This window comes from Homo sapiens, chromosome 3, assembly GCF_000001405.40.
Source record: "Homo sapiens chromosome 3, GRCh38.p14 Primary Assembly".
NCBI classification, from domain to species: domain Eukaryota; kingdom Metazoa; phylum Chordata; class Mammalia; order Primates; family Hominidae; genus Homo; species Homo sapiens.
In genome coordinates, this window is record NC_000003.12 from 16,719,517 (window position 1) to 16,734,025 (window position 14,509).

The window sequence follows — 14,509 nt, forward strand, 5'->3', positions numbered from 1 at the left end:
TATTTAAAGTATTTCACCCAATATCTGATTAATATTCAACCAACAGTTGTTACTAACACTGCCACTTCAGTGCCTTTGAACCTTAATGATCGTGTCTCATGCGAAGGAATGCAGAAATGCACCACAGCTAGGGAGGAAGTACTACATATTTAAAGGAAAATGAAATTCAATCCTTAATAATGCAAAAATTCATCACGAGGTGACCTGTGTAAATATTAAGGGTTTAAATAATTTAACCCCTCCATGCCTTGGTCAGATGAAAAAGTTGGATTAAGAGAGTTTTAAAAGTGAGTTCCCTAAGGTGTTAATAGGTGTCCTTAAATAAATTTGGAAAACCTAGATGTCAAGTTAAATGAATTACTGTTGTCTCTTTTTTTTTCTGCGCATTTATCAGAACCTTGAGGTAAATTTGCCTTGTAAATCTCCGAAAGTGTATATAGAATGAAGTACTATACAAACTTGATGACAGAATCTTTTTTTTTCCAATTGCTGTGAACATCCTGCAGGTCTCCTGTTCTATCAAATGCTAGATGCCTCTGAGGTACCCCATTCATTCAATTCTAAAATCTTCTGTATGACTAATGAAGGTCAGTAGGTGGAGGATGCTTTTAACGTATAGTTATATAGTTCAAAAATCCCGAATGGTGCTTTGTAAATATCCACGCTGGGGCTGGAGCTGTTGTTGTCATCTTTGCCTGTACCTTGTAATCACCTAGGGAGATTTAAAAAATACTGATGCTCAGGTTGCATCCTCAGAGATTCTAATTTAATTGGTCTGGGTGTCACCTGGGCATTAGATTTTTCAAAAGATCCTCAAGTGATTTCTAATGTGCAGCCAGGGTTGAGAACCACTGGGCTAGGAGAAAGAATCTTTGGCTGGGACAGGTGATAACCAGGGTCAGAAATGCAAAGGACCATAGAATTTGGGAGGGGAAATAAAAGGGAAAGACAGGAAGAGGAGACATGAGGTGATGATGATGATTAAAATCTAGCGAAGGTGTGGGTGTAAGCTGTGTCAGAGAAGAGATGAGACTGTCTGAGGGGATGGAGGATAGAGTGACCACGGAGAATGGAAGCTATATATAGAGGAGTACTTAGAACACCAACTGGGAAAGATCATACTCCCCTAAAGACAAACACACACAAAAATAATCTCAAAAACGAAAGCAAGCAGCCTTGTCTGAATGGATGGAAGCAGACCATATGAGCCAGAAGATCCACAGCTTCAGGATTGGAGTCACTCCAAGGAGACTTCCCTTAGGCAGAACCCCTAGTGTTAGAAGAAAGTCTTTGAATTACAGCTGAATTGACTGTCTCATGAGAGATCTTCCTTGAGATTTGCCTCAACTGAAGCCAGCCTATAACCTGTTTCCTTCCACCATAGTGAGGTTTATGGGCTGTGACAAAATTTTTCATAATTTATGTGACTGCTTCCTGCTGGGCCTCCATTGGACCCAGTAAGAAAGGGGAGGAAGCTAGGAGGAAGTGAATGGGGACTGCATTTGCAGCACTCACTCCGCTGTAGGATAGGCTCAGCAGGAAATGACCAGATGTCCAAATCAGTGTCCAGAAAAGAACAGCAGCTGAAATCCCATCTAGACTGGCCTTGCTCCAAGTGAGTACATCTGATGGGGAACAATATGGCCCCAGACATTTCTAAGCCGAGAAGGGCAAATCTATGCACGCTGTCCCACACTGCCCACTCTGGCATGCGTGGCAGACATGAAGAATTGATCATGGTGCAATTTTATGATGAGGTTAAGCACAATCTCAGTGCGTTTCTCAACATGGAGCACCAAACAGCTATCGCCAAGTGATCAGAGTTAGGACTCAACTCCCCTCCCCATCCTAGGCTGTATGTATGCTCAGAGTGGTGTGGGTGGCAGGACTGTGGTAGGCAACAAGGTACCATTTATTTATTATTTATTTATTTATTTATTCAATCATCCCGATATAAAAAAGATAAAACCTATGCCTAGCACTGTAGTAGACATTCGGGGATGCAACAGTAAGTAAAACAGGCATGGTCCCTACACATTCAATAAACTGCTAAACAAACATAAATAAATATATTGTAGTGAAAGCTACTGAGAGTTTAGGAAGTTAATAATTAACATGTTCCTCTTCCCCTTATCTTGACTTAGAAACAGCTGAGACAGGCATAGGAGTCAAGGGGATGGAGGTACACTATCACTTTCATTACTAATAAGAAGAATATGGCTTAGGTCTGACCAACTGGGCTTGTTAATGTGCTACAGCTGAATTGTACTTATCACCCTTCTCTGCATAATCCCAGGCCCCAGGAACCGATCTGTCCTGTCAGTCTACTTGCAGGTGTAGAAGAGTCCCGACCAGCAATTTCTTCAAGTGGGAAGGGCCAGGCCACACATGGCCAGTTCTTTCCCCAAACCCACCAATAAGAGAAGTGGTTGCTCCTCCACTAGGGGCAAGGCAAGAGGTGAGGAGTGTTACCCCAGTGGAGGGCCCCCTATTTGGAAACACAGGGAAAGGGGAATAAGTGATCCATCCTCCTCAACAAGGGCCATGCCGGGAAAGTAAAGGGCACAATGAGGGATTATAGGAGGGTACTTTTTTTAGGATCGAGATGTTAGGAAGGCTCCTTTGAGTGAGATATATAAAATGAGCCCTAAGCAATTTGGCTCCAGAATCCAACTTATCTGGGGGGACTAGGTCATGCAGGCTTTGACGTTAAGAAGTTGAGTTTTTTCCTAAGAGCAATGGCACAATTTTGAAGAATTTAAGCAGGGGAGGGAAGTAATCAGCTTTGCGTTTTCAAACAGCTATTAACTAGAGGAAGAATTGCCAAAATTAGAAAAAATACATATATAATACGTATTTACACACACACACACACACACACACACACACACACACACACATATATGTATATATATATGGTGCCCAGTTTATACTAAAAAAAAACCTGTCCATTGTTTATCTCTAATTAAAGTTTAACTGAGTGTCCAGTATTTTATTTGGCAACCCCAGAGAAGAAACAGAAAAACCAACTAAGATGTTGTTGCAGGTGTTGGTAATAGAGAAGATGACATGCAGCAGGTTCCAGTTCTATTTGGAAGTAGACTCTTAGAAATAGATTGATGTGGTAGGAGAGAGAGCCTGGGGTCAAGGGCCAGGCAGACTCTGGAGAGCCTCTGGATGGACAGAGCTGCCAGTGCATCCAATGCCACTGAATGAAAATAAAATCAGTTTTAACATTTCAGTCTGTTGCTCTCCTCTTGTAAATTTATGCACCCTATGTAGCCATCCTCATGACAACATCTATTTATTAACTGATTTCTATATAATGCGGCATTGGAACTAATACTGAGGGAAAGGGCCTTGTGTGCTGCCAAAAAAAGTAGCAAATAAACCATAGTTCTAGCAGTGTTGTGCCTAATATGACATTGCTTGTGACTGAGAAAATTATCGAAAGCCTCTGGGATCAGAAGACAATATAAATTAGTCCACAGATGGGAGGAATGCTGTTCTGGTCTTCTGACTGTGTCCCTTAACTTTTCAATTATGTAAAATTTTATCAATATAACCTATCTTATCACATCACTGTTGTGAATATCATGTGAATTACGAATATAAAACATCTTTTATTAATATTCAGGTATTGTTGTGGACTGAATGTTTGTGTACCCCCACCCCAAATTTATATGCTAAAGCCCTAATTCCCAATGTGATATTATTTAGAGATGGGGACTTTGGGAGGTAATTAGGGTTACATAAAGTCATGAGGGTGGGGCCCTCATGGTGGGATTAGTGACCTTGTAAGAAGGGGAGGAAAGATCCTTTGACTGTGCACCCTCTGTTCCCTGCACACATGGGAGAAAGGTGATATGAGGGCATAGTGAGAAGGTGGTCATCTGCAAGCCAGGAATAAAGACTCCACCAGAAACCAAATTGACTAGAACCTTGATCTTGGACTTCTAGCCTCCAGAACTGTGCATAAATAAATTTCTGTGGTTTAAGCCACTTAATCTATAGTATTTTGTTGTGGTAGCCCTAACTGAATAATATACATACTAATTTTTTTAACAAAAATAATTAGGTATAAGCAGGCAAGAATGTTAACACCAAAGCAAAATCTCTTGCTTTACTTAACTGATTATTTATTTAGAGACAGGTCTCTGTCTGTTACCCAGGCTGGAGTACAATAGTGCAAGCATGGCTTACTGCACCCAGGAACTCCTGGGCTCAAGTGATCCTCCCACTTCAACCTCCTAAGTAGCCGGGACTACAGGCACACACTACCATGACCAACTTTTTTTTTTTTTTAATTTTTTTTTAATTTTAGAGGCAGGGTCTTGCTATGTTTCTTAGGCTGGTCTTAAACTTTTAACCTCAAGCAATCCTCCCACCTTGGCCTATGAGTAGCTGGGATTACAGACCCAGGCTACTGTGCCCGGCTTCTTGCTATTTTCAGTCTGCCAGTGAATTTTCTGAATCTGTAAGCTAGGCCACCTCTAGCATATGTTCTCAAGTCTCCAGTCCTGGAGCAAATTATATTGTGTATATTTCCTTGCCTTTTCCTTTTCTACCTCCCAAACATTCACATTAAGGGCAGCCTTGAGAAGGCAATGTCACAAAAGGTGTGAGTGTGTGAAGAAGAAAGGAGCTTGGTTGCTAGGAAACCAAGGAGCCAGTACAGCCAAACAGCCACTAGGTGCTTAGGGATTATGTGGTTTGTGCTGACTGCATGTATGTTAGTAGATGGGGCCTTTCTCTTTTAGCACCAACTAGAATTCTGCCACATCCAGACTTCTAGTCTGACATCAGATGTAAAAAGATGCTGAATAATGTAATGACTAGTGAGGCTTTCCATTGCGGTGGTCCCCGCTTATTCACAGGGAATACATTCCAAGACTCCCAATGGATGCATGTAACTGAAGGTAGTATCGAATTTAATATATACTGTTTTTTTCTATACATATGTGTCTATGATAAAGTTTAATTTATAAATTAGGCACAGTAAGAGGTTAACAACAATAACTAGTAATAAAATGGACCAATTAAAACAATATACTGTAATAAAAGTTATCTGAACATGCTTTCTCTCTCTCTCAAAATATCTTATTGCAGTGTACTCATCTATTTTCAGACTGCTATTGAACGTGGGTAACTGAAACCGTGGAAAGCAAAACCACACAGATAAGGGAGGACTATTGTATGAAAGACAGAAACCCAACTACAGAAAAGAGAATTTGTTATATATAGTAACTGGGAAGTCTAGGAGTGGATACTGCTTCGGTTAGGACTGGATTCAGTAATGTGAATGTCATTAGCTCATTCTTGATCATACCTGTTTTCCTCTGTGCAATAGTCTCATTCTTACCTATTTTATTTTTCTGACTCTAAGTGGGATCCCTTCAGGCAGTAAGGAAGGGATAGTCTGGCTACAGAGCTCTAGGCTCCTATGTTTCCAGGAACCATCTCCAAGTAAAGAAAGAGCTTTTCTTTGCTAGGATTCGTATGTTAAATCCCAGAGAAGGGATCTGATTACTCGGTTGGGTCACAGGCTCTCCTATTGCACTAATTACTATGGCCAGAGTAGCAGGGTACTCTGATTTGCAGCCCCATTAAGAACTGCATGGAATATGGGAGGCAATTCTCCAAAGGAAAATGGGATGTGTTACAGGAAGATGAGAGAATTAACTGGGCAGGTCAAAACAGCAGATATCCACTGAAGTACTTGAAAAGACATCTACACAGTTAGCTCTGACTTTTATTCATGTGTAACTTCAATCAAAATTACATATGAAGGATGCCCACTGATGCACTGTTTTTAATAAAGAAAAAATGGAAACAACCCCAGTGTGCATTCATAGAGAAGCAGTAAATAATTGTAAATTCATATAGTATAATACGAAATAGCAATGTAACTACTGACACAGAATGTGGCCTTGATATAAATTAAGGGAAAACAACAAGTTGTAAAGCAGTGTTTAAAGTTTAAATTTTTTGTAAAAATGTTATTTCTGTGAATATTGCCCCAAATTGTTAAGAGTAGCTTTCTTATAGGAAGTTACTATTGGATTCCCTTTTGGTGGGTTATAAACTCCTAAAATGTGATATTTTAGAATGAGCAATATTAATTTTATAGTTAAACCAATAAAGATTAAATTTTAAAAATTCATTATAAATACTAAAAAAAAGTACAAATATTATCACCCATTTTGTAGGTTGTTTTTCACTTTCTTGATAGTGTCCTTTAAGACACAAATATTTTACATTTTGGTCAAGTCCCATTTATCTATTTTTGCCTTTGTCACTTGTACTTTTGGTGATGTATCTAAGAAACCTCTGCCTAGTGGGAGGTCATGAAAATTTACACCTTTGTTTTATTCTGAATTTTATAGTTTTAGCTCTTAAATTTAGGTCTTTGGCCTATTTTGAGTCAATATTTATATATGGTGTGAGGTACAGGTCTGTGTAGTAAAAAATTTGGCCTCACCCCGAGAGAGGACTAGCTTTTGCCCTCAGCTTCTGAGAGTTGATCTATATAATACTTAATGGGAGTGTCCTTGTTTAGGGTGGCAGCTGGCCACACCAGATCTTAGGGTGAGGCTAGCTACACAAGAAAGACCAAATATGTGATTTAGGGTGGGGGCTGGTCATGCTAGAAAGATCAACATGTGATTCAGAGTGTGAGCTTTGGGTCACATGGTGTAAGTCAACTTAGAGACTGAATTCAATCATGTTGGCAGTCTGTCAGTCATGTGCACATAATGAAACCCCAATATAAACTCTGGATACTGAAGTTCAGGTGAGCTTCTCTCACTGGCAATACTCTGCATATTGCCACACATTGATGCTGGGAAAGTATACATGCTGACTCCACAGGAAAGGGGACACAGAAGCTTCAGGTTTGGCATCTTCCCAAACTCTGCCCTGTACTTCTTCCTTTGACTAATTTGAATATGCATCCTTTCCCTATAATAAACTGTAAAAATCAGTATAACAACTTTCAGTGAAATCCTGTGAGTCCTTATGGAAAATTATGAAAACTGAAAGTGGCTTTGGGAACCTACCAGAAATTGCAGTTGCTGTCAGAAGTGAGGGCCATTTTGTGGATATTGTGCTCTCTAAACTTGTAGTTGGCTCCAAATTATCACAGTTGGTGTCAGAAGAGGGATTCATGGGACCAAACCTGACTCACTGGAGCATGTAGTTTGGGAAGAAAAAGGATGAAAGGGTGGATGTTAATGAACTTTTCATTTCTGGATGGCTACAGAGTCAGCCATGATATGGAACTATAGCTGTGCTATAATCAGTTACTGAAGGTAAAAGTTACCAATGGAATTTTAAAATGATGGACCCAACTCTAAGAAGTTGTCTCACTGGATGCCTAAGGAAATGCAGAGTAACAAGAAAAAGAAAAAGAAAAATATATGATATTTGGTTACTGTTATCTGTCATATCTAAAATGTGAGTAAGAAGTAATGCAAGAATTTTGGTGTAAATCCTAATGCTGGGCAAAGCTTGGATTCCAGCTGGTTCAAGCTGCAACTATTAGCCTGTAGAGCCTCTACCAACGAATATAGTTAAAATAAAAACAAAAGAAAGTGTTTGTGTGGACCCCCATCCTGGGTCTAGCCTGGATTCCTTCTATTCCAAGCTACAGCTGCTAGCCTCAGAACCCCTATGAAAGGAAAAATTATGCTGAAACAACAGATAGGGAAATAGGTTAGAATGATTTATAAGAGAATAGGTACAACAAAGGGGAAAGAAAGAGGGGCAAATTGTGCACAAATTTGGCTAAGCAAAGTGGAAAACTTTAAATGGTCGTTAAGAAATGAGGTGAATAAAGCAAATATTAATGTAGCCAAAACTAAGTCCTTAATGTGGTATTCTCAGAGCTTGGGTGGAGAATGGCAGCCCTGCTGCTCTCCCAGTATTGAAAGGCCTAAACAAATCAGATATAGCAGGCGGTGGGGGTGGGCTGGGCTGGCTGGGGGAGGTGGTCAGGGAACCACCTGGTCCCAGGGGTGCCAAAGAGAACAGCTCAAATCATCAAGCATCGTTGATGATAGCCAGTCATCTAGTGACCAGTAGAAACAAGGAACCAGGTGGTTTTCAGAGGACAGCATGAAAACCTGCACATAGGCCAGCGGGCTTCTCCCCTGGAGATCATGCAATTTTCCTCCCTCTAGATGCTATCTTGGAGAAGAGAGAAAACAGCCAAGTTGCATCATTTGATTTGACTATATGACTAGACATTTACATTTTTTTTTTTTTTTTGAGATGAAGTCTCACTCTGTCGCCCAGGCTGGAGTGCAGTGGCACGATCTGGGCTCACTGCAACCTCCGCCTCCTGGGTTCAAGTGATTCTCCTGCCTTGGCCTCCTGAGTAGCTGAGATTACAGGTGTGCACCACTACACCCAGCTAATTTTTTGTATTTTTAGTAAAGGCAGGGTTTCACCATGTTGGCCAGGCTGGTCTCAAACTCCTGACCTTGTGATTCACCTGCCTCAGCCTCCCAAAGTGCTGGGCTTACAGGCATGAGCCAACGTGCCTGGCTGATATTTACTGTTTTTACTCCATCATGTCTATACTTGGCTTCTATATCATTTGAAGAAGGTATTCTGCTGTTTACTGAAAACTGAACAAAGAAAAAACCCCATAGATAAAAAATTTTTGGTGTTAGTAAACTGAAAAAGGCTGTTTTAAACAGGAAAATATTGAGATAACTTTAATCAATGAGTTTAAGATTTTACTCTCTCCACTGGAAAGAACACCTAAGAGGACAATGAGATCAATTCTAGAAACAAAGGAACACTGCATATATATAATCTAGCACATATGAATTATACTGCTTATATTTTGACCTATTTCATGTCAAATACATAAAGCATAGGTGATTTGGTGCAGGAGGGTGAAAAGGGGGCAGGCGGATTACTTGTACCCCTCACCAGAAAATCCCTGTGGCACCTCCAGAGGCAGATAGAAGTGTTTGAAACCCAGTGATCCATCTGGGGAAATTGGTCCTTCTATCTTTAAGTGACTTTACAATAACACAACTACTTAGTTAGTGCAGGAGCCCACACTGGCACCCAGGGACTTAACTTCTAGGACTTTAACAAGGAATAGACCATGTCAACCTCATTCCTTATCAGCAGGTTGGCATTTTCGTCTGAACAAATAATGTATTACATTTTCAGCCAATTGCTTTTGAAACAAGGGCTTTCTGTTGATCTAATGTTCATTATGAAGTCTAGTTCCAAGATTCTTTTTGCTCATTTTATCATGGTGCCTATTCTCTTTCAACTTCTAGACAGAAATTTTTTACTATGGGTATACAGATCTAACGTTGTGTCTCAGGGGTTTTCAACCTTGTTACTCTTGACATTTGGACCAGATATTTCTTTGTGAGGTAAGAGGGCTGTCCTCTGCATTCTAAGATGTTTAGTAACATCCTGGCCTTTACTCACTGCATTCCAGGAGGACTATCACCCCACCTCCACCCCAGTTTAGACAAAAAAAAAAATCCTCTATATATTGCCAAATGTCCCCTGGGGAGGCAAAATTACCCATATTTGAGAACCACTGCTCTTTCATTATGATATAAACTGATTCCAAGATATCCCTCTGGTGTACCCACTCCTGACTGATCTCCAGCCTAATCACTGTGGATGAATACTCTCCAACAATGAGGGGTACTGGAGGAAAGGACTGTGTATTCACGATTCATTACTCCCCTCCCCAACAGTGAATTAGTAACACTCTTGGTTCAGGCTGCTTCACTTCTGTAAGGATGAGTAAATTTGTTGAGAAACAAATTATTCAATGATACTTGTTAAAGCATGGTAAGGAAGACTTCAATTCAAGACCATTACAATAGGTGTGGGGACAATTAAAATGGGATCTTGCAGTCAGGGAGAGAGATTGGACTCAACTCTGAATATGGAAAGGAGAAATTTACAGCCAAGGAGCAGGGTGAGGGTCAGTGGTTGGAAAATTACTAAGGGAGATTCTGGCTAAACCGACCCAACAAGATTCTTGCTGAAGACAGGCCAGGGTGATCAGACATCACCTGGGGGATGATGGAGGGTGTGTAACATAATCAGATATCAAGGATAATCAGATATTGAAGACAGAGCGTTCTGGCTAAACTTACTAAGCAGGTCCCTTTGCTAAAGCTGGATTTTACAAGGAAGTGCACAGATGGGCCCTGGGAGAAGGTCCAGAATCCTGAGTAAAGTTTGGCCAAGAGAAGACTCTTTGTCACATTTCAGATGAATCTATCATGAAACAATTAGTGTTTCTGCTGATATTATACAAAATATAAAGAAAGAATATATAGAAAGAGCTGGACATCAGCCTGAAGATATTGTTGAATCTTATTGTTCAAGTCATGTTGATGTGGGTTTTTTTAACTTGGAGTTAAAAGAATACTAACTAATGAAATTAGGCAGCTTAAATGAATTCATTTTGAATAATTAAGGTTTTCACTACTCAATCAGGCCTAATAGCATGATTTTCCAAAGAGTGAATCATACTTAAAGATAATCAGATATGTTCTCACCAGTTCAAGACAGTCTGAGGGGTAAACTTAGCCCAGAGAAGAAGAGATGGAGTTAGAGTCCATAGGGCAAAGTCTTCTTATTCTCAATCTCCTTGTTTGTTCCCTAGATCATATTGTTAATCTTGGAGTTCTGGAAAACACTTACTCTGAACTTACCCATCTCAAATTCTTCTACTGTGTCTCCCTCCTTTAATATACTTTAGCTTTTATTCATTCCTTAATTAAGAAAATATTAATTGAGTGTGTGCAATGGGTCAGCCTCTGCTCTGGGGCCACAGATGCAGAGGTGAGAAAGAAACACATGGCCCCAGCCCTCACAAAGTGTGTGGATGAGATTCAAGAAGATGAAGGTGGAATAGAGGAATGACATTAACAAATTTTTTTATTGTGGTAAAATATACATAACATAAAATTTACAATTTTAATAATTTTTTCTTTTTTTAAATTATACTTTAAGTTCTGGGATACATGTGCAGAATGTCCAGGTTTGTTACATAGGTATACATGTGCCATGGTGGTTTGCTGCACCCATCAACCCGTCATCTACATTAGGTATTTCTCCTAATGCTATCCTTCCCCTAGCCCCCCACCTCACAACAGGCCCCGGTGTGTGATGTTCCCATCCCTGTGCCCATGTGTTCTCCTTGTTCAACTCCCATTTATGAGTGAGAACATGTGGTGTTTGGTTTTCTGTTCTTGTGTTAGTTTGCTGAGGATGATGGTTTCCAGCTTCATCCATGTCCCTGCAAAGGACATGAACTCATTCTTTTTTATGGCTGCATAGTATTCCATGGTGTATATATACCACATTTTCTTTATCCAGTCTATCACTGATGGGCATTTGGATTGGTTCCAAGTCTTTGCTATTGTGAACAGTGCTGCAATAAACATATGCGTGCATGTGTCTTTATAGTAGAATGATTTATAATCCTTTGGGTATATACCGAGTAATGGGCTTGCTGGGTGAAATGGTATTTCTGGTTCTAAATCCTTGAGGAATTGCCACATTGTCTTCCACAATGGTTGAACTAATTTACACTCCCACCACTCCCTTTTTCTCTAGATTCCTCCTCTCTGGGAAGGGCATCTCTGAAAGAAAGGCAGCAGTCCCAGTCAGGGGCTTATAGATAAAACTCCCATCTCCCTCGGACAGAGCACCTGGGGGAAGGGGCGGCTGTGGGTACAGCTTCAGCTGACTTAAATGTTCCTGCCTGCCAGCTCTGAAGAGAGCAGTGGAACTCCTAGCACAGCGCTTGAGCTCTGTGAAGGGACAGACTGCCTCCTCAAGTGGGTCCCTGACCCCTGTGCCTCCTGACTGGGAGACACCTCCCAGGAGGGGTCAACAGACACCTCATACAGGAGGCATCTGGCAGGTGCCCCTCTGGAACAAAGCTTCCAGAGGAAGGCACAGGCAGCAATCTTTGCTGTTTTGCAGCCTCCACTGGTGATACCCAGGAAAACAGGGTCTGGAATGGACCTCCAGCAAACTCCAGCAGACCTGCAGCAGAGGGGCCTGAAGGAAAACTAACAAACAGAAAGGAATAACATCAACATCAACAAAGAGGATGTCCACACAGAAACCCCATCTGAAGGTCACCAACATCAAAGACCAAAGGTAGATAAATCCATGGAGATGAGAAAAAAACAGCGTAAAAAGGCTGAAAATTCCAAAAACCAGAACACCTGTTCTCCTCCAAAGGATCACAACTCCTTGCCAGCAAGGGAACAAAACTGGATAGAGAATGAGATTGACGAATTGACAGAAGTAGGCTTCAGATGGTGGTTAATAACAAATTCTTCTGAGCTAAAGGAGCATGTTCCAACCCAATGCAAGGAAGCTAAGAACCTTGAAAAAAGGTTAGAGGAATTGCTAACTAGAATAACCAGTTTAGAGAAGAACAGAAATGACCTGATGGAGCTGAAAAACACAGCATGAGAACTTTGTGCAGCATATACAAGTATCAACAGCTGAATTGATGAAGCAGAAGAAAGGATATCAGAGACTGAAGATCAACTTAATGAAATAAAGTGTGAAGAAAAGATCAGAGAAAAAAGAATGAAAAGTAACAAACAAAGCCTCTAAGAAATATGGGACTATGTGAAAAGACCAAACCTACGTTTGATTGGTGTAACTGAAAGTGACAGGGAGAATGGAGCCAAGTTGGAAAACACTCTTCAGGATATTATCCAGAACTTCCCCAACCTAGCAAGCCAGGTGAACATTCAAATTCAGGGAATACAGAGAACACCACAAAGATACTCCTTAAGAAGACCAACCCCAAGACACATAATCGTCAGATTCACCAAGGTTGAAATGAAGGAAAACATGTTAAGGGCAGACAGAGAGAAAGGTCAGGTTACTCACAAAGGGAAACCCATCAGACTAACAGCGGATCTCTCTGCAGAAACCCTACAAGCCAGAAGCGAGTGGGGGCCAATATTCAACATTCTTAAAGAAAAAAATTTCCAACCCAGAATTTCATATCCAGCCAAACTAAGCTTCATAAGTGAAGGAGAAATAAAATCCTTTACAGACAACCAAATGCTGAGAAATTTTGTCACCACCAGGCCTGCCTTAAAAGAGCTCCTGAAGGAAGCACTACATATGAAAAGGAAAAACCAGTACCAAATTGTAAAGACCATCAACACTATGAAGCAACTGCATCAACTAATGGGCAAAATAACCAGCTAGCATCATAATGACAGAATCAAATTCACACATAACAATATTAACCTTAAATATAAATGGGCTAAATACCCCAATTAAAAGATAAAGACTGGCAAATTTGATAAAGAGTCAAGACCCATTGGTGTGCTGTATTCAGGAGACTCATCTCACATGCAAAGACACAGATAGGCTCAAAATGAAGGGATGGAGGAATATTTACCAAGCAAATGGAAAGCAAAAAAAAAAAAAAAGGAGGGGTTGCAATCCTAGTCCCTGGTAAAATAGACTTTAAACCAACAAAGATCAAAAATGACAAAGAAGGGCATTATATAATGGTAAAGGAATCAATGCAACAAGAAGAGCTAACTATCCTAAATATATATGCACCCAATGCAGGAGCACCCAGATTCATAAAGCAAGTTCTTAGAGACCTAGAAAGAGACTTAGACTCCCACACAATAATAGTGGGAGACTTTAACACCCCATTGTCAATATCAGACAGATCAATGAGACAGAAAATTAACAAGGATATTCAGGAGTTGAACTCAGCTCTGGACCAAGTGGACCTAACAGACACCTACAGAACTCTTCACCCCAGATCAACAGAATATACATTCTTCTCAGCACCACATGGCACTTATTCTAAAATTGACCACATAATTGGAAGTAAAACACTCCTCAGCAAATGCAAAAGAACGGAAACCATAACAAACAGTCCCTTGGACCACAGTGCAATCAAATTAGAACTCAGGGTTAAGAAACTCACTCAAAATCACACAACTACATGAAGACTGAACAACCTGCTTCTGAATGACAGCTGGGTAAATAATGAAATTAGGGAGGAAATAAAGAAGTTCTTTGAAGCCAATGAAAACAAAGAGACAATGTACCAGAATCTCTGGGACACAGCTAAAGCAGTGTTAAGAGGGAAATTTATAGCACTAAATGCCCACATCAGAAAGTGGGAAAGATCTAAAATTGACACCCTAACATGACAATTAAAAGAACTAGAGAAGCAAGGCAAACAAATTCAAAAACTAGCAGAAGACAAGAAATAAGATCAGAACAGAACTGAAGGAGATAGAGACACAAAAAACCCTTCAAAAAATCAATGAATCTAAGAGCTGGTTTTTTGAAAAGATTAACAAAATAGATAGACCACTAGCCAGACTAATAAAGGAGAAAAGAGAGAAGAATCAAATAGACACAATAAAAAAAGATAAAGGGGATATCACCACTGATCCCACAGAAATACAAACTACTATCAGAGAATACTATAAAAACCTCT

The 14,509-nt window shown here is 40.2% G+C and overlaps 1 long non-coding RNA gene across 6 annotated transcripts in view; it reads left to right on the forward strand.

The window, feature by feature from the left end:
• Nucleotides 1–4,649: 4,649 nt before the first annotated feature.
• Nucleotides 4,650–14,509, forward strand: part of PLCL2UT (PLCL2 upstream transcript) — a 49,186-nt gene continuing 39,326 nt past the window's right edge. For all 6 annotated transcript variants that reach the window (NR_199589.1, NR_199588.1, NR_199590.1 and 3 more), the window contains exon 1: nucleotides 4,650–4,919. This is a non-coding gene — a long non-coding RNA (PLCL2 upstream transcript). The remainder of the gene's footprint in view (nucleotides 4,920–14,509) is intronic.